This window comes from Homo sapiens, chromosome 18 (genome assembly GCF_000001405.40).
Source record: "Homo sapiens chromosome 18, GRCh38.p14 Primary Assembly".
Classification (NCBI taxonomy): Eukaryota; Metazoa; Chordata; class Mammalia; order Primates; family Hominidae; genus Homo; species Homo sapiens.
The window spans coordinates 37,766,811-37,790,421 of NC_000018.10; the positions used below are offsets into that span (position 1 = coordinate 37,766,811).

The 23,611-nt window shown below is 42.4% G+C and overlaps 1 protein-coding gene across 1 annotated transcript in view; it reads right to left on the reverse strand.

The window, feature by feature from the left end:
* LOC105372073 (uncharacterized) overlaps positions 1–7,878 on the reverse strand; it is a 40,272-nt gene extending 32,394 nt beyond the window's left edge. The window contains exons 1-2 of the mRNA XM_047437984.1: positions 7,796–7,878; positions 5,550–5,671 (exon numbers count right to left, since the gene is read on the reverse strand). Coding sequence (XP_047293940.1) covers positions 5,550–5,660 — 111 coding nt within the window. The 5' untranslated portion in view covers positions 5,661–5,671; positions 7,796–7,878. The remainder of the gene's footprint in view (positions 1–5,549; positions 5,672–7,795) is intronic.
* Between the last annotated feature and the right edge of the window lie 15,733 nt (positions 7,879–23,611).

A 23,611-nucleotide genomic window follows, 5' to 3' on the forward strand; every position in this document is an offset into this window, starting at 1 on the left:
AGTGTGGGGAGTGAAGCCAGTGATGTGAGGCAGTGTTGGGCAATGCAGGTGGATACTCCTCTGCATTTTTTTTTTGTAGCTTCTTTTGAGATGACTGACTAATCTCTATTGGACAGTTATTTGGCCACACCCTTAGTATTCTTTCCTGAGTAGTCTTTCTCATTATTTTCAATGCAGATATTCTGAAAATGTTCCAATTCTTTAGGTTCAGTTTCCATATTGATTAATAATTCTGTTTGTAAGTCATTTCTTTCTTTTCACATTTTACTCTAAGCAGTCAAAAGGAACTAGGCCACTCCTTCAATACTTTTAAAGATATTTCCTCCGCCAAATTTCCAGTTCTGTTGCTTGCATGTTCTATCTTCCACCAAACACTAAGACATGAACACAATCCAGCCAAGTTCTGTGCCACTTTATAATAAGGATGGTCTTTCCTTTATTGTCCAATAAGTTCCTCATTTCTGATGAGGTCTGAGACCTTATCAGAATGGCCTTTACCAGCCATATTTCTACCATCATTCAGTTCAGAATTACTTAGATATTCTCTAAGAAGATTGAGGCTTTCTCTACAGATCTCTTTTCTTTCTGAGCTCTCACTAGAATTGCCCTTAAAGATCTGTTACAACAATGTTGGCTTTTTCTGGCATGTGTCCCAGAACTCTCCAGCCTCTGCCCATTGCCCAGTTCCAAAGCTGCTTCCATATTTTTAGGTATTTGGTATAGCAGTACCTCACTTCTGAGTATCAATTTTCTGTCTTAGATCATTCAGGCTGCTATAGCAAAGTACCATAGATTGGATGGTTTATAAGCATCAGAAATGTGTTTCTCACAGTTCTGGAGGCTGAAAGACAATGACTGAGGTGTCAACAGATTTTGTGTCTCATGAGGGCCTGCTTCCTGGTTCATAGATGGCCACCTCTTCTGTCATGTCCTCACATGGTGGAAGGAGTAAGGGATCTCTCTGGGGCCTTTTATATAAGGGTACTAGTCCTATTCATGAGGTCCTCTGCCTTCATGACCTAATCACTGCCCAAAGCCCCTACCTTCAAATACTCTCACATTTGAGATTAGATTTCCACATACAAATTTAGTCTTTGCTATAATAATCCCCTCTTTTGTTTTATTTTACCACTGACAAAGACTCTCTCCTTGATCAGACTTTGATAAGGCTCCCCTGAGACCTCTTCTCAACTGGCCTAGACTTTGGCTCCAATTTTTACTGAACTTTCATAGATCAGTTTTATCAAGAATCCTACTAAGTGGCTAGGTGCAGTGGCTCACGCCTGTAATCCCAGCACTTTGGGAGCCTGAGGCGGGCGGATCACGAGGTCAAGAGATTGAGACCATCCTGGCCAACATGGTGAAACCCCATCTCTACTAAGAATATAAAAATTACCTGGGTGTGGTGGTGCATGCCTGTAATCCCAGCTACTTGGGAGGCTGAGGCAGGAGTATCGCTTGAACCTGGGAGGTGGAGTTTGCAGTGAGCCGAGATTGGGTCACTGCACTCCAGCCTGGGTAACAGAGCAAGACTCCGTCTCAGAAAAAAAAAAAAAAAAAAAGAATCCTACTAAGTAAGTTTGGGAAGGGCTTCTCCAGCTCCACATCTGACCACCTTTGATATCTGATTAAATTCTTCATCTTCCATCCTTGATATCTGATCACCCAGACTTGCCTTCAGCAAAGATCTCGTTAGATTAGTTTAGAAAGAATTCCCCTACCCTTGATGTCTCTTCTTAGTAATTTTCCAACCACCTACCTTTCACACCCACCCTGCTCCTTGGCTATAAATCCCCACTTGTCCTTGCTATATTCAAAATTGAGCCCAGTTCTATATTGAGGTCTCTTTTCCCCTATCACTGTAGTTCCTGAATGAAATCTGTTTTCACTGCTTTAACTACTGTCTGGCTCTAGTTTTGTTTAATAGCACCAAAGACTGTAGGAGGAAGGACACGTTAAGAGTTTATACAGTTCAAAATTTTCCAAGAGTCCGATGTGGCTGGATTGTAGGATGCAAGAGAGTGAGGGTGGGGTTGACAGCAGGGAGCACTGAAGGAAGGGCATAAAGAGCCAAGATTTTATTCTTAAGGCTTCTTAATCAGGGGAGAAACATGATGAGAGTTTTAGTTTAGAAAGACATTCTGGCTACAGTGTGGAGAAGGGATTTGGCCATAGGTACAGAGGGGTGGGGTTGTTTTGGTTATGGTTCACATAAAACCCAGGTAGGGGGCCATGACAGTTATACACTGATCCTTATTGATGGGGAAACCATGAAGGCTTGAACTAAAGAGGTAACAGCTGGGATGGAGAAATATGAATGGATTAGGAAGATGTTTAGGAGGTAGAACCAATGAGTTTGATGATCAATTGGATACGTGTGGATTGCAGGGCAGTAGGGGATTTCAAGGGTTATTCCTTGGATTATTGAGTGATGTAATTCATCATATAGTAACAATATTGACAGCTAAAATTTATGGAGAGTATAATATGTGCCAGGCACTTCTGTTTTACATATAGAGCTCATTTTATCTTTACAATAACCTAATGAGGTAAGAACTATTAACCTCAATCACATGTGAAGAAGTTGCAACATAGGGAGGTGAAAACAGATACTTGTTCAAGGTTTCAAAGTCAGGAAATGTTAGAGTCAGGGCTCAAATCCAGGTGGTCTGGTCTCATAGACCAGGTGTGTTGGAAAAGGTATTTTCTCTGGGATATGTGTGTGTGTTTGTGTGTGTGTGAGAAAGAGAGAGAGAAAGAGAGAGAGAATGAATGAGTTCTGATGTGAGTTGCTACCTTTGCAACACCATAGTGTAGATTTCCAGGGGGAGGTTGGGTAGATAAGCTGTAGTTTAGGGGGAAGGGCTGGGATTGAAATACAGTGAGTAATGTGTCCATGTCAAGACATAGGATTATACAAAATTTCCTGGAAGAGGTGAGTGAGGAGCCCTGGCCAATACCAGTGTTTTTGTGATACACTTAAGGAAAAGACTATAGAAGGCACTGAGTGAGAATATCACAAGAGTAGGGTGAAGGTTAGGTCAGTGAAAAATGTCTCTACCTTCCTTGGGCCCTACCTCAGGCCCTCTGGCTCTTGGGCTAGGTGTGTGTTTTCAGCTGCACAATGGTGCAGCCAGCTTCTGCAGAATAGTCTTATTATCAAGGTCAGAGGCCTGGAATTTGAGGAAGTATGTGGTTGAGCTTCAAGTCCCTGAAATTTAGAAAAACAAGTAAGGATGCGTTTTAGATTGGTTACTCATAAATTAGAACCAGAAACAAATAGTTTATTATGAGGTGATTCAGGAAGCTCCAGGAAGGGAGTGGTCTCATCTATATTCCATGTTTTCCTGACTGCTCAGAAGTCATTTCTTAGTTTCAGCATTTTTTGCCACCTGGAGAGGCTGAGAAGTTTTAAAACCATCAAGTCCTGCTTTCTTTTTATTTAACAGTTCTTCCCTCAATTTACCTCTTTTCTCTCACATTTCACTATTAGCAGCAAGATGCTGCTGGCAGTGCCTTCAACACTTTGTTTGGAAATCACTTTAGCTGGATAACCAGGTTTACCCCTTACAAGCTTTGCTTTCCCCTTAAAGTAGATGACAATTTTGCTGATATTTCTGCCACTATGTAATAAAGACCCCTCTTTGTTCCAGGTTCTAGTAATATGTTCCTTCCTTGCTTATGAGCTCTTACTGACAGGCTTCTTGTTTCTATATTTCTGCTAACAGCCTATTCAGGGCAATTTAAGCTTTCTCTATTATGCTCCTCAAATTCTTCTAATCTCTACCCACTGCCTGGGTAGAGTGCTGGTCTGAAGGCCACTGCCACATTTTTAGGTGTTTGTTGAAGTAGCATCCCACTTCTGATACCAAATTCTTTATTAGTCAGAGTTCAGCTACAGAAGAAAAACCAGTAAGAGATATATTCATGTGTATATATATATATGTGTGTGTGTGTATTTATATATATATATGTATATATGTAAGGATTTGTTACTGGGCTACACAATTGTGGGAACTGGTTAAGCAGTCTCTGTAAGGCTGTCAACTCATCTAATGCCAGAGACTGAGGTCCAAAAGCAGGTAGTTGGGGAAGAAAAGTCATGAGCAGGCTGCAACCCATAAGCACAAGCTGAGACTTCGTGAGCACAGGCTGTTGTGTTCATACTTGTTGCCTCTGACCTTTGTAACAACAAGCATCTTGAGCCCTCCATCATGGAGCTAAACAAACACAGCTAGAGGAGCCAGTGGAACTAAGGAGTACCAAGGGAAGGGAGAGAACTTGCTCCATGCCATTGAAGTAAATAAACAGTTAAGCAATAATATGTGTGAGCTACAAAATGGCTACTGCTTCATTTCTGCCTCCCTATTCTCCAAATTCTCCGAAGAATTTCATTTGTGGCCCCACAATTAGAAACATACAATAAAGAAACACACAATAAAGAACATTATGAAAAATGTAGTTCATCCTACCAAATCAAAACATAACGAAGCCATCAGACATATGCTCCAGTTACACCAACTGCACTTTCCTTATCATACTTTGTATAACTGCACTTTCTTTATCATACTTTGTATAGCCGTACTCTTTTCCTGGACTACCTCCCTTCTGCCTCCTATCTCTGCCCCAATCTGTGCCCGAGCACTAATAGCCAGTCTTCTGTGAGCTAGTCCCAATATGTCTCCATAATAACTGATACTTTCATTACAGCAACAGTCACAAGATATGATTTTTGTTTATGTGTCTATCTTCCTCACTGAAGTCTATGCTCCTTAAAGTAATAGCCCGTATTTTCTCTTACATCCCCTGAAGTTAATGCCTAGCAGATAGTAGGTGCTTAATAAGTTTGGATGAATGAAGTAAGTCACAATGTCTCTAATCCTTAGTGTGTTTTGCATGAAATGGCCTTGTAACTCACGAGGCCATTGTAACCATGAACTGTGATGGCACACGTGCAAGTGCCCAGTTCTTGGTAGGTTATTACAGAAACTCCAGAACTTCCTGCTTGAGCCTGGCCCTATGTTGTGGCAGATGGCCCCTGGAGGCCCCTCCACCTTCAATACTGTGCCCTGACAATGTCTTCATTCTGGAACCACCTAGGTTACAGAGATGGCAAAATCTTTAAGAGTGCTATATATTTTTCAAATTCAAGAAAGAGATACACTGGTGAAATTCTCTCTTTGAGGAAAGAGATACATTCCTTGCACACACGGATTCCCCAGTCCGCTGGAGATAAAATGATCCTGACCTTGGAGGAACCACGGTCATAGGGATATGCTGTCTGTGTGCCTGAAGAGTTTGTGTGTCACTTAATCTAGATCACGCTCAGGGTAGTCAGCAGGTCAGGCTCAGATCCAGATAAGCAGGATGTTGTCTGGCTTTCTGTCGTTTGTTTATTCAACACATTTATTGTGGACCCACAGTTTTCCTAGTGCTGTATTAATTGTTGAGAATACAGAGGAGTTAATACATGTAAAATGTTTAGAGTAGTGCTTGCTGCTTATAAACCCAGTAAATATTTACTATCCTTCTTATTAGGTAATACATACAGTTCTCAGTTTCTGCTTTATCTTTGTAGATATGCAGGTGTTATCTCTTCTCTCTCTTTCTGTCTCTGAGCACTTGGTTGGTTTCCATGAAGTATCATTTGAACTGATCATCCAGCAGATGCCTGAGAAATTGTTATAATTTATTTTGTACTTACGTGCCAGGAACTGTGCTACATAAATTTTACAAGAGTCAAGATTTGTTTCAGCTGCATTTAACAGAAAAACACATTTGGTTTCTTTCAGTCTTCTAAAGGATGCCTAGAGGTAGTAGCCAGGGCTAGTATGGTGGTTCTACTATGCCATAGTTTCATTACATACAATGCCAAGACTTTTTCTGTTTTTTTGTTTCACTAGATGCAAGGAAGACTGGGAAATGCAGTATACAGCTGGAGACATCATTGCCCTAAATAAAAATAGGACTCTTACCAAGAAGGGAGAGGAGAATGGATATTGGGTGGCATCACAGTCTCTCACACCTGAGCATCTGATTCTGTCAGAAGTTAAATGATGACCTCTCCTGTGGATCCCTGGGTTCTTATGAAGCATGAGTATAATACAAGATGTCAACAGGTATTGCAAAGGTAAAATCCTTGCTAAAAAATGGCTTAGTGGAGAGGATGGGTCATTCTCAGACCAGTTATAGGGTGGCTTGCACGTTGGTGTGCTGATTCAGGAATGGATTTAGATGATTGACTCGTAGAAATTTCAGGTGTCCAGAGACAAAATATTAGCCAGACCTAATATTTCAGTTTACCTCTGCTCCAGCCATTGAGGGAGAAAATTTCTGCTCTGCTTCAAAAGGGAGACAGATGTCAGTTTGCAAAGGGAAGAAACAGAGGGCCAGTAGGCACCTCTTGCTAGGACCTAATTCGCACTCAGGGAACATTTGATCCACTGGGCTCTGAGGGAAGTTTAATTGAAACGCAAAAACCAAAGGTCAAAACCATGTAAAATTTAAAGGCCATTTTTACTATTTGACAAGGAACAAATTGTAACTTTATATTGCTTTTAGATGCAATTTTGTTCAGTGAAATTAGATTATACTCAACTAAAGCACCTTCTTTAGAGCTTTTAGATTAAATATTAGAACTTATTAGCAGGACCTTGATTTCGTCAGTAAATACCAAAGAAAATATTTGGTGGGAAATGCAGCTGCCTAATCTGCATTAATACAAATGAGAACTATTAAGCTTAGCTGATTAGCATATTCATATGTACTGTAGTCCCCATGTATTTAAAATAGATTCTGCTAGATTCTGATTACAAACTCAGTGTATGTATAACGCTGTGAACCAGAGCCATGGCAATAGCGTGCTACTGACGAAGGGTGAGGAGCCCCAGCAGGAGGTAATTTTTGAGCAGAAAAATCTCAGGGTTGTTTCTATAACCAGCCTTGTCTCAAAGTCTCTGAGAAGCAGATGAACTGACAGACGGTAACCCAAGACAGAGCCTAGGTTCCTGGGGAACAAGACAGATAGGTCAGAACAAATATGTGTGTGTGTGTGTGTGTTTAATTCATTTATGTTTTCACTTCTTCATTTGCACAGCACATGTTTATTATTTACACATAATAATAAATGTATATTATGTATATTGTTTATATGTATATTCTATAATAATACATGTATATTATAGTAATACATATATAGTACAGAAATATATTTTTATGTTTATCTTGAGCCCATGATATTGCAGGCACTGGGGTGGTGCTGGTGACTGGTGAGAATAAGGGCCACCCTGAGAACAGGGTTCATCTCCTCAAGGAGCTGGAGGAAGGGAATCCTGGCTTGCCAAATCTAGGGCTGATTTTTCAAATTCCCGCCTGATTCCCTGACCTAGTCCTTTCATGGCTGGGAGTGTTGCTCCCATGGAAGGTTCTTCTCAATGTGGAGAGCCAGGGGCAGGGAGTGGGGGGCAGGGAAGAGCTGCCTGGCTGCTCCTGCCCTCATGGAGCCCACAGATGACCATAGGAAGGGCACTTTGTGTTCCCTGCTCCCCACAAGTGCATTTCTTCTGAGTTTTCTGTTTCCAGTGACACAGCTTGAGGTGACTGTAGTTGATCAGTGAGGGGCTAATGTGCTTGGATGGGATGATGCAGATTGCTTACAGATAATGTAGCTGTGCCTTTATATTTGAAGGTCAGTGTCCTCTGGGACGACAGCACTCTAAAGAACGTGTTTACTTCCTTGTACATGTGTCTGTCCAGGTCCCAGAGCATCCAGAGCAGGCCTGTGTTGAGGAAGTACCTTTTGGGATGGTGGGTGACGCTGGGGGTCTGCGGGATGGCAGGAAGGCAGTAAAGTATTCATTCTTCTGGCGACCCAGTTTATTTTCTCTGCTCTCTTGTGCTGTTGTCTTTCTGGTGCCTAACATGTGGAATTCCAGAATTCTGGTGCTGGAAACAATTGTAGACATTATTCTATTCTAAAGACTAAGAAACTGAGGTTCAGGGGAGTCCTGAGACAGGCGGAAGTGATGCAGTCCAAACCAAATGCCATGTTTTCTGAACCTCAGACCAGCAGGTGAACTCCTGACAATGATTCCTAACATTTATTTAGTTTCCATTGATCCAAGCTGCCCTCTGCGTGCATTGTAACTAGATGTAACAGGTTTTTAAGCTTTCAGAACTCCATATTTTGTGACTTTTCTTGAACCTGGCCATTCATTCATTCTTTCAACAGATACTTATGGAGCACCCCCATGTTTGAGGAGCTGTGCGAGGCCTTGGAGTTGAAGCCGTGAGTAGAAAGACAAAGGCTCGGGCTCAGGAGCTTATATTCTAGTGAGAAGAGTGACAATGAAGATGCAGCTGCCAGGTAGGGATACCTGCTCTGAGAAGGGGTGTGGCAGGGTCAGGAGATGGAGAGTGACCAGGCTGTTTTTCCTGAGAGTGGGTGTGGGGTAGCTTTATTTATTGAGCAGATAGGGTGACATTTGAGCAGCTGAAGGAAATAAGTAATGAGACATAGACTGTCTGGGGAGAGCGTGTCCCATATAGAGGCACGGAACCCAGCCTGTTGGGGAGGAAGGTGTTTACAATGTGGTACAAGGGAGGAGACAGCAGTAGAGAGCGTGGAGAGGAATGAGGATCAGATTGGACATGTGCATGTTGTGGGGGACAGCATGCAGTTTATTATCCAGTCGGGGCCCTAGATAGTGAAAGGAGGTGCTGTTAGTAATTGCACTAGGATAGACGTGAGTGCCAGGGTCTGAGGCAGGCCAGGGTGTGTAGCCACCTGACATGAAGGCCAGTATGAGGCGTTGGCTCTCACTCCAGGTGGGTGAGGAGCCTTGGAGGCTGTCAGCAGAGGGCAGGAGTGGTTGGATGTTAGTTCCATATTGACTGGGAAGCTATAAGGTTTACTGGCAGATTGGATGGGGGCTGCGAGAGAAAAGGAGGGTTAAACATGACTCCACAGTCTGAGCAACCGGAAGACGGAGTTGCCTCTATGGAAGTGCCAGGAGACTGCTGGAAAATAATATTTGAGTAGAAATGAAAGAGTTTGGTTGTTCGTTACCTTTGATGCATGTTACCTTTGATGCGTGTTACTTTTGATGTTCTTATTTGACATTTGAGTGAAGGTGTCATATTTAGTTAGAAGCAGGAGTCTTCAGGAGATATCCATCTATCTATCTATTTTACTATCTATCAATCTATCTATCTGGTATTAGAAGCCCTCAGAGCAGGGTGAGATCTCTGAGAGAGTGAGTACAGAGAAGAGAGCAAGGACTGAGCGCTGGGCCCTGCAAAGTTTACAGATTAGAAGGACCAGCCCCAGAAAATAAGGCTGAGAAGAAACAGGCAGAGAGGTGGGAAGGAGGCAAGTGGCATGATGTCCTAAGCCAAGTGAGAAAAATATTTCCAGGATCTACCACAACCTGTACAGGATGTTTTGGGACAGCGACTTGGAGCAGCATTTGGTGGGAGAGGACGGAAGCTGTGAGACGTCAGCTCTGAGCCCTGAGTCCAGGGCTGGTCCTGTGGAGACAGGGGTTGCTATGTCATGAGCAGTGTGTGTGTGAGTATGAGGTGTGGGAGGAAAGGTAGTAAGAAGCTGAGAAAATGCCTCAAGCTGACCTCTCCCAAGGGAGTTGGAGCCATGAGTACCTGGGCACCCTGAGGTGAACACTCCTTGCTCTGTGGGTCTCTAGTATCTAACAATAAGACCCCACCTGCACCTATTGATACACCTCAGGGTGAGAGGCAAAGAAACATCACTGGGAAACTACAGACACGCAATCAGGACTTTTCTCTAATGTAAAGAGAACTTAGGGTCAGGATTCAGGGATCAAATCTAGCTTCCTTGTTTGGCCTCTCTGAGTCTTTGTCCCTTTGCCTCTAAAACTGAGTATTTCCTTGCCTTATCTGAGCTTATGTAAGGGCTAAATGGGACATGCTATACCAAAAACAATTTATGGAGACCCAGTTCACTATAAGAGTACAATGCATTCATCTTCTTCATCTTTGTAACTTTCGCTACTCCTTTCTGTTTAAATTGAAACAGATCTGGAGGCTTGTTTTCTAGAGGAACAACAATGAAAAAAACAAGCAACAGGGAAAGTAGTCTTTGGTTAGTGAGTATTCAGGAAATTTCGGGGCAAAACAAGGAAGGTGATTGGAACCCTAATAAGATCGCTTCCAGCATAAGGATGACAGTGATGGCAGAGAGGAGACTTCATACTTGGACATAGCTTTGTGAGCTCCTAAAGAAGCCCAGCTCATAGTCTGCCCTTCCAGATAGCCTGCTGAAGGAACAGTGAAGTTTGGAGCTGAAACAGCTTCCTGAGCAGAAATCTAGTTCATTTCCCCATGCTCAGGAGAGTGGCTTAGAAGCCACCATCTCTGCCTTTTTTTCCTGTTGCTGTCTGTGGCTGACTGTGGCAGGTGGGAAGCTCTGGGAGCTCCAGCTCTGTCCTCTGTCCTTGCAGACACCCAGGGTGGGTGACCACAGCCTATGAAGTAAGCCAGTCCTTAATCCATGGAGCACATGCCCAGATACAGGGACATGGTGCCATAATGGACACTCCAAAATGCCTACTCCCCATGGTTGGACCATGTCCAGATGACGTTTTTTTTTTTTGTTGTTGTTTGTTTGTTTGTTTGTTTTTGAGACAGAGTTTCACTTTTGTCACCCAGGATGGAGTGCAATGGCACGATCTCGGCTCACTGCAACCTCCATCTCCCGGGTACAAGCGATTCTCCTGCCTCAGCCTCCCGGGTAGCTGGGATTACAGGCACGTGCCACCACGCTGGCTAATTTTTGTATTTTTAGTAGAGATGGGGTTTCACCATGTTGGCCAGGCTGGTGTCGAACTCCTGACTTCAGGTGATCTGCCTGCCTCAGCCTCCCAAAGTGCTGGGATTACAGGCATTGAATCACCGCGCACGGCCGAGGTGACTTGTTTTTGATTAAAGGATGCTGCCCGGTCCTCTGCGATGAGCCCACCCTCCAATCCTCATAGTCTCCACTTGACATCAGCAGGGTCACGAAGGACTCAGATGACCAAGAGGGGGCTCTTCCTTGAGAAGATGCAAGTAGAGGTATCACCTGCCTAAAGGTCCTGCCCAGGGATAGATGCTTGCAGGGTCAGGGGACAGGGCAGGGGCGTTTCATTGTGGGAAGAGGGGAAGAGGGTGTGGTGGGGGGCATGGCCTCTGGAGTTGGGGCAGCCTACCACCTGAATGGTCCGAAGGTCAGGCTTGTAGCAACGGGGTTCCTGGGGTGGGAGGAGGGTGGGGGCTGAGTTTGGTTTTTACTGACGTCCACTTTAGCCTGTGCCAGTCTTGCCCATGGCAGAGCCCCTGTTCATGCCCTAAGTTTAGACATTTTCCAGAGCCAGCCTCAGGGCAGTGTTTCCCATGAGCACAGAGTTCTGGTTGAGCCTTCAGCTCCTTCAAGCTGAAGGACTGCTGAGAGCCTGCAGTGAGCTCCCTCAGGGCTAGCATTTTAACCACTTTTAGTGCTTAATTCTGCACAGCCTCTTATATTATCGCATGGGTCAAACTCCTCTCTTCAAGCTGCAGAAGCAACAGGTGTGTCTCCCACCCCCTCCCCCAGCCCTTCCCTTTCCCCTACTGCCCTGCTCCAAGAAGAGCCTGGCCCAGGGGTCAGGAAGCACCAAAGGTGTTTCAGTGGTGATGCTCCACAGTGACAGTTCGGGCACCAGCAACCAAGTGACGGTGGTGGGGAGGTGCATTCCAGGCCCCGTAGCCTCAAAAGTCAGCTCGCGTGGCCACCTCCCTTCTGCACCTGAGGCCTTGCGGCTGGCGCTGTGTCTGCTCAGGGGCCTAAATAAAGCCGAAAAAGGAAGGAGATGCTGTTCGCCTTCCCAGATGGGACCACCAGGGGGCAGTGGAGCACACTCGCAGGCTGCAGGCTGCCGGCCGCCTCAGGACTAGGAAAAGGCGTCGGGAGCTGCTGTGGCAGGGGAAACAGGCGACCCTAGGGTCAGAAATCATCTTCAGAGCACCGGGTCTCCTCTCAGAGAATGGCAGGACTGTGCATTGGCTTCAAACCAGCCAGCTTTTATCGTCACTCAGAAGCTGCCCAACCCTAACAACCCCATCATCATTTTGTTCCGAATCATCACCCTTATTTTACTGGCATGAAGAGCCCAGAGAGGTTGAGTAACTGCACTGAAGCCACACAGCCATGAAAGTGGTCGAGCACTGGATTTTCACAGTGGGATTTTTTAACGCCAAGGATCTTCCTCATTGCTTTACAACGGTTAGTCCAGTTCTCACCTGGGAAGAAGATGCCCTGGCCCCCTTCACACCATTATCAGAATCTCTTGGAGGAGGGAAGGGTCTTTCCTGAATCTCAGGTTTTAACAAGCTTCCCAGGTGATTCTGGCACGCATGTGGAATGGGAATCCTGCACTTGTAGCAACACCTGACCTGAACTCTATTGTAAAGGAAGCGTATTTTTCCCTTAGTCTCCTTCCCACCCACTCCCCACTCATGCTGAGCTTCCAGTCCCCCACACCCAGTCCCCAGCCCCAGCCCCAGCCCCAGCCCATGATGTCAACCGTGCACCTCTGAAATCTCCCTCCCGCCAAGGACTTGTCTGCATCCCACCTGGCTTCCCGTCCTCGCCCTCTGACAGACACTGACACTGAGCTGCCCTTTACCGCCATACCTTCCAAAGTGACAACAAGTTAATCTGATTAAAAAAATCAATTCTGGTGGGATTAAGATAGAAAGTTGCCCCAACAACCAGCCAATCCCAGGTATCATGGGAATTTAAAACCGGACTTTCTGGACATAAAATCACAGTCTGAGCTTTTAATCCAGAAATGCTACAACGAGGGTGGGAATTTCAGGAAGAAGGGGGAGAAGCATTTGGAAAGATGGAGATCCTTGACTTTGGGGTCAGGGATTGAGGGGTGTTTTATCTATACTGTGAAGGTGACAAATGCCAGCTTCAGGTTTTTGTTTTATTGAAAGGAACATGTATTGGTTTTTCCATTATAGAGACAATAGATATGCATGCAAAATATCCAAGCAATATAGAAAATTGTAAAGGGAAATGAAAAGCGCAATGATTCCTACCACCTAGCTGAGTTAAGATGTCAGATAACATCTGTTCTGACACCACTCTATAAGTATGATGAACAATTGCTAAACTTTATTGAGCACCTACTATGTGTCAGACATAGTGCCGTGTGCTTCTCATAAACTCTGCCCTCTAATTCTCACATGTCCCATAGGAAGGAGGAGATGGAGATTTTATAAATAAGGAAACTAGAACTAGAGAAGTTGAATAGCTTGTCCAGAGTGAAATACTATGTGATAGAGCAGGAATCCAATTCAGGTTCCTCTCACTCAGAACCGAAGTTCTTACTCAGCTTCTGATACTGGCTATGTATGCAGACACAAACACAACTTGAAGACATACACACAGAATGCATGCACATACACCACCCCACAAAGCTCTCACATGCACCCTCAGACACACAGAACTCGCATACATACACCACCCCGCAGAGTTCACACATGCACCCACAGACGCACACACAGAACTCACACACACCACCCCGCAGAGTTCACACATGCACCCCGCAGACACATAGAACTCACACACACCACTCCGCAGAGTTCACACATGCACCCCACAGACACACAGAACTCACACACATACGCCACCCCACAGAGTTCATACATGCACCCCACAGACACACACACAGAACTCACAAACATACACCACCCCACAGAGTTCACACATGCACCCCCAGACACACACAACTCACACACATACACCACCCCACAGAGTTCACACACGCACCCCACAGACACACACACAGAACTCACACAGACATACACTGCCCCACAGAGCTCACACACTCACCCCACAGACACACACACAGAGCTCACACACACACACCACCCCACAGAACTCACACATTCATATGCTGCCCCATAGAGCTCACACATGCACCAAACAGACATACACAGAGCTCACACACACATACACCACCCCACAGGGATCACATACTCCACCACACAGAACTCACACATATACCCCACAGACACACACACACAACACAGAGCTCACACATGCACCCCACAGACACACACACACACACCACCCCACAGGGCTCACACATGTACCCCACAGACACACACACACATACACCACCCACAGAGCTCACACACATACCCCACAACCACACACAGAACTCACACATACACTACCCACAGAGCTCACACATGCACCCCACAGACACACGCAGAACTCACACACACACCACCCCACAGAGCTCACACATGCACTCCACAGACACACACAGCTCACACACACATACACTGCTCTGCAGAGCTCATATATGCACCCCACAGACACACACACAGAACTCACATGTAAATACATCCCTCCACAGAACTCACAATGCACCCTATAGACACACATACACACACACACAGAACTCCCACATAAATACACCACTACACAGAACTCACACACAAATATACCACACATGCACATAGAACTCACATGAAAATACATTCCCCCAGACAGAACTCGCAGTGCACCCTGTAGAGACACACACACATATACACATACACATACACAGAACTCCCATATAAATATACCACACATGCAGAACTTATAAATATACCACACATGCACCTAGAACACACATGCAAATATACCACACATACACAGAACTCATATGCATACATTGCAGACAGACAACCCACAGACACTCACAGAATGCACACACATACAGTACACACATGTACTTCACACACATTACCACTGACACACAGATCTCTTGCACACACATTGACGGTATACACACAAAGCACACACATACAGTACACACATGTACTTCACACACATTACCACTGACACACAGATCTCTTGCACACACATTGACGGTATACACACAAAGCTCACACATATGCACACACTGCCGACAAAGACAGAGAACCCACATGGACACACAAACCTCATAGATTTACACACAGGACTCACATTACATATGTACACACTAGACAGCGCGCACCCACAACCATACAGACACATACACACATAAAGGCTGTCTTAGTTCATTTTCTGTTGCTACACAGAAATTTATGAAGAGGAGAAGTTTATTAAACTCATGGTTCTGGAGAATGGGAAATCTAACAGCATGGCATCGGCGTCTGTGGAGGGCCTTTGTGCTGTATTATAACATGGTGGAAGGTATGACATAGCAAGAATGAGGGAGCGTGCATGCATGCGTGTCCACTGAGGCCTCTTTCTCTTCTTATAAAACCCCCAGTTCCATCATGGGGTCTCCACTCTGATGATTTGTCTAATCTTAATTACTTCCCAAAGGCCCCACCTCCAATCAACATGTTAATTTTGGGATTAAGTTCCCAACACGTGAAATTAAGGAGACATATTCAAAGCATAGCAGAAAAATAGACCCACACATACATGCATGGGCTCTCTTGAATCTGATTTTTTCTTTTGATTCAATATGTACATAGAAGTTTTATTTTTTAAAAGCTTGCATAGGCCTGTGCAGTGGTTCACACCTGTAATCCCAGTGCTTTGGGTTGAGGAGAGAGAATTGCTTGAATGCAGGAGTCTGAGACAAGCCTGGGAAACAGAAATACTCTGTCTCTACAAAAAAATGAAAAAATAAAATTAGCCAGGCATGGTGGTGCATGCCTGTACTCTCAGTTACTCAGGGGGCAGACGTGGGAGGATTGCTTGAGCCCAGAAGTTTGAGGCTGCAGTGAGCCGTGATTGCACCACTGCACTCCAGCCTGGTGACAGAGCGAGACCCTGTCTTTAAAAAAAAAAAAAAAAGAAATAGAAAGCTTGTGTAGTATTCAATTGTGTAGATCAATCACATTGTAGCTAATCAAATCCTACTGGTGGTAATATGAGTTTATTTAAAATATTTGAATTAAAATAACAAAAAAGGAAAGCTATTGGTTTTTCATGATGTACCAGGCTACATGTATTACGTAACTTAATCTTTACATCAACTCTGCAAGCAGAAACCGAAGTTCAGAGAATTTTAGAGCTTCTAAGTGCCAGAGCCAGGAACCAGAACTAGGAAATCTGTCTCCAGACTTACCCTCAATATGGGTTGGCTTTCAATGAACATCCCTATAGATATATGTTGCTGTGGGAAAAGCTCCTTCAAGAGGAATTCCAAGTTCAGGCGTATATACATTCTCTACTTTATACTCATTGCTGACCTGGCCTTTAGAGAAATGGACCAATGAGTGCATTTCTTATTTTCCTTCATTTTTGCCAGGACTGGGTATTTTTATCTTTGCTATTTGTTAGGTAAAAAAGTCATATCTAAGTATTAGACAATGCCCTTTAGGAAATCAAGTTTTGACTGGCTTGTTTAGAGAAGGCTTTGTGGTGGAAGAAAACATTAACTTTGAAGGATAATTAGCTTTCCAGTAGCAGAGGATATCTTTCTTGAAGATAGGAACAGTGGCATTAGCCAATGTCCTGGGATTCTTAGTGGTCTTGGGGCTTCAAACCTACTGAATTGCATGGGGAAGTCTCTCAAAACTTGTTTGTCACAATGACACTCGGTCCTGAGGCTCAGCGTTTGGAAGATTTGCCTCCTGTAGACATAGACACAGTTTAGTTTTAGGAGGTGGAGGAGAGAGTGTGCATGGTGCTGAGGAGTCCACCTTCAACTGTGACACTGTGCTAGGACTAGCTTTTGGAAATGGGACACCTTAGAAACACAATGGTGGCAGATTTGGGACTCTGTGTGTGGATTATTTACCCTTGGTGGCTTCTCAGGCTTCCCATGCAAAGCAGGCATTATCAGAGCAGCTCTGTGGTGTCAACTGCTTATACCCTCCAGCCTGAGCTGGTCACTGCTAGAGGATTCAGTCTTGCTGTGTGTTTTAGGCCTAGATCTCGCACAGGTAGCTGCTTGCTGCCTTACAAACCATGGCTCTTCCAGGTCCATGTTTTATTGGATCATGACAGAATGATGCAGGCATCTCTGGAGGTAAAACTGGGTCTGTGCCATATCCCCAGCCTTCTCCTTGCCTCCTCATCAGAGCTGCCTACAGCAGTCCTGCCCTGTCTCCATCACCACCTGCCAACCTCTTGCTCAGCTCAGAGCCCGTAGAGCCAGGCAGTACCAGGCAGCTCCCGGAGTTCACTCAGCCGTTGCAGATTTGACACATGATCAAAACTGCAGCTATTCCTTTCTCAAATTCCACCTTCCTGAGTTATTTTAAAATCCAGCTTTTTCTTGCCTGAGAGATTGGATTTCCAGCTTGTGTTGTAAATTTGCTTATAAGTGGGCTCCTTTCGCACGGTGGAAAGGAGAACAAGAAAGAAAAAACAAACAAACAAACAAACAAAAACCACCACAGGGGAACTGCTCCTTCCAGAGCCAATGTGGCCTGAAGACTTTTGTTTCTACAGAGAAGTTTTTGTCCCAAGAGCTGGGGCTGAATAGAATAGGATAGAATAGAAGCTGAGTTATAGCCAGGAGAGAAAGGTGGATGGGCTCTTTCTCCAAGTCTGAAAAATCTGTCAGGGCCTAAAGAAAAGCAGGCAGCAGGAATACATAAAAGTAGTTGGCTTTATTTTCTCCTTGCACCTGGTTTATAGGTGCCTCTGTGTCTGTTTACTCCTGGACCTTATTCGGGGGTTTCCCCTTGCCTAGCCTGTGCGCAAGGACCACCCTGTGGGCCGGAAGCCTGTCTGACTTCTCTTCTGGTCCAGTGCACTTCCGGCCACCCTGGTAGTTCCATACAGATCGGGAGACCAGAAAGGATGGAGTTAATTATGTTTGCCAAATACAACAGACACTGCTTATTTGCATGAATATTGTTCCCAATTTCTCTTTTATATTTTCTGTATTATTTTTATCACACATTTAACTTTTACACATATGTCGTAAACACAATACATTGCTGCTATTTTTGCATTAGTTCTCTTTTAGTGCTGTTAAAAATAAGAATGAAAGAAATTTTATTTTTCCTTCATTAATTCTGTTTTCATCCCTCTTAATTTTATTTTGTGCAGATCTTAGTCTCTGATTGATCTTGTTCTTTCTGCCTTTCAAACTTTAATATTTCGTATAATGTAGGTCTTCCGACAATGAGTTTTCACATTTTTTTTTTCTTTTTTTGCTTGAAAAGTATTTATTTCTCCTTTGTTTCTTAAAGGCATTCCTTTTTCTTTCTGAGTATGGAGTTCTGAATATACATTTTTTTCCGCCATTTCATTTTCTTCATTTGTATGGTTTCTGATGAGAAACTTACTATAATTCTTATCTTTATTTTTCCATAAGTAAGGTATCATTTTTCTCGGGCTTCTCAAGATTTTTCTTTGTCTTTGGTTTCAAGTTGTTTGAATATGACATGCTTAGTTTGTTTCATTTTTTTCCCTGTTTCGTGTCATAACAATCATTAATTTTGAAAAATTCTCAGCCCTTATTTTTCCAACTATTTCTTCAGACCTATAGTCTCTCTTTTCACTTTTTGAGAGTCCTATACATATGCTATACTTTTTGACAGTGTCCCATAGCTCTTGTGTGTTTGGTTCTTTTACTACTACTGCTATTACTACTACCACTATTTTCTTTTCTTTCTGTTTCGGTTTGGATCATTTGTCTTAATCTATTTTCAGGTTCATTACTTCTTTCCACAGCTGTGTCATGTCTACTGTTGAGTCCATAAAAGGCTTTCTCCATGTCTGTTACTGTTTTCATTTATAGCATTTCCATTTGATTCTTTTATAGTTTCCATTTCTCTGCGGAAATTACCCATCTGATATTGCATGGTATCCATCCTTTCATTAGTGCCTTTAACATGTTAATTACAGTTATTTTAAATTCCTTGTCTGATAGTTCCAACATCTGTGTCATAAATGTATCTGGTTCTGTTGATGGCATTGTCTCTTGACAGTGTTTTTTTTTTTTTTTTTGTAAGTTTTTGTGGAAAGACACACAGCTTGTGTAGGACTTCTGAAGCTGAGGTAAATAGTTAATATGCTTGAAGATAGGCATGGCTTTCCTTCTGATGAAACTTTGGGAATTTGCATGAATTTACTTAGGAATTAAGCTGAATTTAAGATTAATTGTTGCCATGGTTACTAGCAATGCATCAGCTGCTTCAAATTGCTCAAACACTACCTTGTCTTTAAGCTGTCGTTTCTTTTGCCATGTAGTTTTTCTCCATGTCTAGTTCACTCTCAGCTTTAGGTGTTCCATTTATACTATGATTTAGAGAGATTTTCTTTGTCTTTATTTTTATTATTTTTCATATTTTAAATTTCTATTTTTTGTGTGTTTATTGTACTTCAATTTCAATGTAAGAGATTTTTGAGGGCGTTTTGATTTAGAATATCATCTCTATAATAAGTTATTTCTCTACTGTAAAGATAGAAAGGGAGAAATGTTTCCCCTCAACTGTAATGGACAGTTTGGAGGAGCAAACACGTAAAAGTGTCCCTATCCTTTTCCTTTTTTTTGATTTTCAATGTTTAAGTTCAGGGGTACACGTTCAGGATGTGTAGGTTTGTTACATAGGTAAACGTGTGCCATGGTGGTTTGCTGCACAGATCATCCCATCACCTAGGTATTAAGCTTAGCATCCATTAGATATTCTTCCTGATGCTCTCCCTCCTCTCACCTGCCACCCTCCAACAGGCCCCACTGTGTGTTGTTCCCCTCCATGTGACCATGTGTTCTCATCATTCAGCTCCCGCTTATAAGTGAGAATATGCAGTATTTGGTTTTCTGTTCCTGTGCTAGTTTGCTAAGGATAATGGATTTCAGTTCCATCCTTGTCGCTGCAAAGGACATGATCTCATTAATTTTTATGGCTGCATAGTATTCCATGGTGTATATGTACCACATTTTCTTTATCCAGTCTATCACTGATAGTCATTTAGGTTGATTCCATGTATTTGAAATTGTGGATAGTACTGCAATGAACATATATGTACATGTATCATTATAATAGAATAATGTATATTCCTTTGTTACATACCCTATAATGAGATTGCTGGGTCAAATGGTATTTCTGCCTCTAGATCTTTGAGGATTCCCCACACTGTCTTCCACTATGGTGAACTACGTTACACTCCCACAAACAGTGTAAAAGCATTCCTTTTTCTCCACACCCTCACCAGTATCTGTTGTTGTTGTTGTTGTTGTTGACTTTTTAGTAATAGCCATTCTGACTGGTGTGAGATGGTATCTTATTGTGGTTTTAACTTGCGTTTCTCTAATGATCAGTGATGTTGAGCTTTTGTTCATGTTTGTTGGCTGCATATATGTCTTCTTTTATGTCCTTTGCCCAATTTTTTAAATGAGGTCGTTTGTTTTTTTTCTTATAAATTTGTTTAAGTTTCTTGTAGATGCTGGATATTAGACCTTTGTCAGATGGATAGATTGCAAAATTTTTCTCCCATTCTATAGGTTGTCTGTTCACTCTGATGATAGTTTCTTTGGCTATGCAGAAGTAGACAAGGTTTTTTTTTTTTTCATGCACTTGTCCCTGTCTTAGCAGAATTCCATTATTACTTGTTACTCAATGTTTTTTAGCCTTGTGGTGAGGAGCAGGTGTATTCTCTATTCTTCTAATTAAGCATCAGCCTTATATAGGCACTGTGCCTGGGCTTCAGGACTGTGGTCTTCTCAGTGTTCCTGTGCTTCTGCTGGGCATAATTCTGAGCCCAATTATATATTCCTGCACCTTCCCTAGAGCAGATTTTTTTTTTCTCTTCTCTTACCCTAGATGCAGTAGGCTTTCACTATTGCCTTGAATATGACAGTGCTTGTTGGCTTTCCTCCAGCAGTTTTGGCCTTATTATGAAGAGGAAAAAGGCAAGGAGAATCTGGGTGGGGTTTTATGCCTTTCCTGACACAGCCACTGTTCTTTTCCTTCAGGCTTGCATTGCAAGGGGATACTCTTCAGGACTCTCATCAATCTGTTTTGTGATCACTGGTGAGTTGCATGTAGAAAAGCCTGTGAATGGGTGCAAATTTTTCTTATATCTGCACCCTCAGGAGTACTTTGTTCTCCTGAGATCCATTGCTTGGCCTTAACAGTTCAATAACAATTTTAGCTAAATTCTTACCAGCATCTGGCAGCATCTGTCCTGGGTAATTGAGTGCTCATGTTCTATCTCTCCTTGTAGACACTTGCAAATACTTAGATTTCAGATTAGCTGGTTTTTTTTTTTTTCTGTAAACTCAGATCTCTGATGGGTTCGAGTAAAATTATAAATTTGTGGATTGTTTGGCATTTTTGTTGCAAGAGTTGAAGTGATGCTTTTTCTAGTTTTCTACATCTTAAGCAATAGCCAGAAGTAGCACTATTCTTAATACCCCAAACTGGAAACTGCCATAATGTCTATTAACAGTCAAATGGTTAAATATATTGTGGTATATTTATCCAAAGGACTACTATATAGCCATGAGAATGAGGGCACTTTAACTACATAAAACAATATGGATATAACTCATAAATATAATGCTGAGCTAAGGAAGCCAGTCACGAATGAGTACGTGCTAGATAATTCCATTTACATAAAATGCAAAACTAATTTATGCTTTTGAAAATTAAGGAAGCAATGATCATTGGAAAGCCAGAGACTGGAATGGAGAACAAGAGGGGCTTCTGAGATCCCAGCCATGTTCTGTTTCTTGATATGTTTGTTATTTCTATAACTTTGTATTTCTGAAAACAGAAATACATGTATAATTTCCACTTTTCTGTGTGTATATTATGATTCATCAAAAATATTTTTAAAATATCTATTAATAAAAGCATGGATTCATAACTTTTCAAATAGCTAACTAAATGCAGCTAAAACATAATCCAGCAAAAGAGAAAATTAAGAGAATGGCAAGAAAGCTGAGAAAATAAAGTGCTAAAGCCTAAGGACATCAATTATGGCAATAAATATAAATGCTTAACATTTTTCCCCATTAAAAGATAATAAAATACAATAAAACTCATGTATGTTTTTAATGATGTACAAATGCAAAAGGACTATAGGTGAGCCCTTTCTCCAGTAATTTCCTTTTTTTCTTCTTGAATTATATTTGTGCTATTACAATTATATCCTTGAAACAGTGTACCTAATCTATCCAATGGTATTTGGGGCAAGAATATTTTGAAGACAGGTAGCAAAAGACAGGTCAGGGAGGGTAATAATTTGAGACATACAAAGGAAAAATATATTTCCTGCAGATTAAAGTGGTTTTGAGCTGGACTATTCTCAGATAACTAAGGAAAACTGTTTATATTAATTTAGTATTAATCTCCAAACCTTAACCTCAGCTCAGTTCTTCATACACCCAGAACATTACCTGCATGACTTCAGAAAATTCTAGCTTCATGCATGAGGCTGGGCATCAGAGGACAATGCCACCCTCTCCTAGACCCTGGAAAGGAAGCACTTCATAGTGTGGCCACTATGTAAGAGAAGAGATGGAGAAATCAGGCCTGGGGGATTTGGCTGAAGGAGAATGGAGGCTTTGTATGGGAATTAAATAGAAGAGCTTTAAAATATTTTGTTTTGAAAGCTTTGAGACATAAATATTTGATATTTTAAGATCTGGTATTTTAAGAATTGCACATATTTAATATATGCATTTTGATGGATTTGGATATATGTATATACCATATTTAAGACAGTAAACATATCCATTACCTCTGAAAATTTCCTCATATTCTTTTGTGGGTTTTTTTGTGTTCACATAGCTGAAAGGAGTCTATGGAAGTAGAAATAACAACTATTTCCATCAGGAATTTTTCCTTGAAGACAGTGTGGGTTTGGGATATGTTGTCTTACAGGAATTCAGATAAATCTGAGAAAATGGAGACCTGTGGGTGAGGCTTAGATTAATAAATGGATCTTAAAATTTAACTACTCCTGGCTGGGCGTGGTGGCTCACATCTGTAATCCCAGCACTTTGGGAGGGCAAGGCAGGCGAATCACTTGAGGTCAGAAGTTTGAGACCAGCCTGGCCAACACAGTGAAACCCCGTCTCTACTAAAAGTACAAAAATTAGCTGAGTGCATCTGTAATCCCAGCTACTCAAGAGGCTGAGGCAGGAGAACTGCTTGAACCCAGGAGGCGGAGGTTGCAGCCAAGATGGTGCCACTGCACTCCAACATGGGTGACAGAGCAAGATTCCATCTCAATGACTCCATTTTGAAAATAAGAAAGAAATAATTTGGAGAAAAACTTTCAAGACTTTAAAAAGATCTTACCTCACTATAGCTCATTATAACTTTCTAGAAAACTTCACATTTTTTATCTAATTGAAATTACATGAATTCTCTGTTTAAAGATGCTCAAATTGATGTGCATCTACGATTTTATCTAGATTAAATTATCATATTATTATTCAATACATACATTTGAGACCCCAACTATGTGTTATATGCTATGTAAAGCCCAGAATAACAAGGTTCAATTTCTATTGTCACAAAGTTCAACATCTAATGACAGAGATAGACAGTTATAAGGTTAACAGGAACTCAGTGTTATAAAAACTATGATCACAGAATGTTCAGTGTGTTGGCAGATACCTCTCTATGGGTCTCAAGTTTC